At 37.1% G+C, this 2,504-nt stretch overlaps 1 pseudogene; it reads right to left on the bottom strand.

The window, feature by feature from the left end:
• Positions 1-1,264: 1,264 nt before the first annotated feature.
• LOC107986665 (plasminogen-like protein B) overlaps positions 1,265-2,504 on the bottom strand; it is a 124,780-nt pseudogene continuing 123,540 nt past the window's right edge.

Here is a 2,504-nt window from a genome sequence, read left to right as displayed (position 1 = left end):
GAGTAGCAGCAGCAGGGACCACTGTAGAAAACAGTGTGGCCACTTTTCCATAAGGCAGCTACACTGTTCTGGAAGTCCGTGAGAGTTCTGAAGCTCCTCGCTCCCTCCTGAGCCTGCACTTTAATCTCAAGAGTTTGAGATAAACAGTGGTAAGGAAGAAAGTACAATGGGTGCGGCTAATGAAACACAAGAAGACAAGCCAATGCATAGAAATAATTCCAACCTAAAGAAGTACTTTTTAAAATCATACTTACAGAGGTTTGCAGTGATACTAAAAACAATATTGCAAATCATTATCAAGAATACAAGAACTAGGGTGTTTGTTTCCTTTCCTCTTTAACACCTGTGATGCAGAATCTTTGGAGAGCTAAATTGTTGTTATTAACCATCTTAATACCTAGCCACCAACACAGCATAGGAAACAGTTTTTAAACTGTCATACATCCCTTTAAATCTTCATACACTTAGTGGAACTTTTGCATATCTAAAAAGACATGCAATTTCTACTGAAATCCAGGCCACCTCTTATTCTAAACAATGAGACTACTGATCCACATTTTAAAAGAAACTGTAGAAAAGGAACTGCAACTTTTGCACATTAAAAAAATTTTTCAGAGTCTGAGGAAAATATAGACCATGTCCCCCAAAACATGGAAAATTTAAGAATAAAGCTAAGAATTTTTTACAAAAATTAGCTGGGCATGGTGGTACACAACTGTAGTCCCAGCCACTTGGGAGGCTGAGGCACTAGAATTGCTCGAACCCAGGAGGCAGAGGCTGAAGTGAGCTGCGATCGCACCACTGAACTCCAGTCTGGATGGCACAGTGAGACTCTCAAAACCATACAAAATAAAATAAGAATTTTTGTTCCTATTTGACTGTTACTGAGGATGAAAAAGCCACAGTATTTCTATTTTACAAGGCTTTGGTCCAGAAATTAGAGACCTGGGCCATGGTGACCTTGCAGAATAAGAAGCCAAGATCATAAGGATTGCTTAGACTTCCCATTTCTTCCTTAAATATGAAATAATATTTCAAATATCCCATTTTCAGGGTCATAGGGGTAGGTATGATTTTGTAAATCCAATCCCTTCATTTTTTGAACAACTACAAAAAATGAAACCCAAGAGGTGAAATAATATACTCAAGTTGACATGGCTAATTAGTAATCAAATCCTGTCCTAACTCAGAATTCAATTTCACTACGCCATAGTCCCTTCCTTCTCTGGTCTCATAAATTAAAGACATAAAAGAGGAGGAGGGGGAGTGAGAGGAGGGGGAGGAGAGGAGAAGGAGGAGGAAGAAGAAAATGTACTCACCTTTCTTTTCAAACGAACTGACATCTCATCCTCATGATTGTGGAGGACTTCCTGTTTTCAGCCATTACCACACATTGTTGCCCTTTACTCTGATATTGAAATGACCTACAGGAGAAATCAGGAAATCAAATAAGTGTTTTTCTTTATTTAAAGAAAACAAATGTTTATTAATAAGTGAGACACGCTAAAGATCATTGAATCTCTTGATGGACCAGGGAGCTCAGAACTGCCACCTCTTTCAGTTGTTCGGGCATGGCATCGATGAAGTACTGAACAAAATACACCAACGTGGCAGTAACTCTTGTTCTCTCATGCTCCTACCTTCCCTCCCTCATAATTTTCTCTTTCTTTCTGTTTCAATTGCTTTACTTCTTCTTTACTCGTTTTCTTAATTTTTGTTTTTGGGTTGGAAAGTGGCAACTCTGGTTGCTTTGGACCCATTCCATGAAGTCTGAAATCAAAGTGTCAGTGAGGTTGATTCCTTCTGGGGGCTGTGAGGGAGGATCTGTTCCATGCCTCTCTTCCAGCTTTGGTGATTTGCCAGCAATCTTTGGCATTTGGCTTATAGATGTGTCACCCCAATCTCTCCCTTTCTCTTCCTGTGGTGTTCTTCTCTGTCTTTGTGCCCAAATTTCCCCCATTTATAAAAGATATCAAACATATTGGATTAGGGCCCATCTTAATGATCTTGCCTTAATTTAATTAAGTCTGTAATAACCCTACTTCCAAATAAAGTCACATTCAAAGGTTCTGGAGGGTAAAATTTCAACACATATTTTTGGGAGGACACAAGGTAGTCCATGACAGTACCAGTAGAAATATTAAGTGGTTAAGACATATAGGATTCTTCGAAGGTATACTAATGTAGATTAAATATATAATGTTGACTTTGCTAAAGATTATTAATAGCTTATTACCATTTAAAGTAAATTTGAAAAAATACACAAAAGTACATTGCGTATTTGGTAAATATTCATGTATTTTATAACAATATACACCACAGCTATATATCCAAAACATTAGAGAGGTACATAAGGAATAGAAAGGTGTATGTACCCAGAAGATGATGAAGGGAAAAATAAAATGAAATACTTAAATTGTATTAAAATGAAATCTAATAAAATATAGATATGAAATTTATAAATAAGAACTGGGTCTTATAGAATTGACTAGAATCGTTCATCA

This window comes from Homo sapiens, chromosome 6, assembly GCF_000001405.40.
Source record: "Homo sapiens chromosome 6, GRCh38.p14 Primary Assembly".
Lineage (NCBI taxonomy): Eukaryota > Metazoa > Chordata > Mammalia > Primates > Hominidae > Homo > Homo sapiens.
Note: the sequence above shows the minus strand (reverse complement) of the source record. Positions and strands in the feature narration are given on the sequence as shown.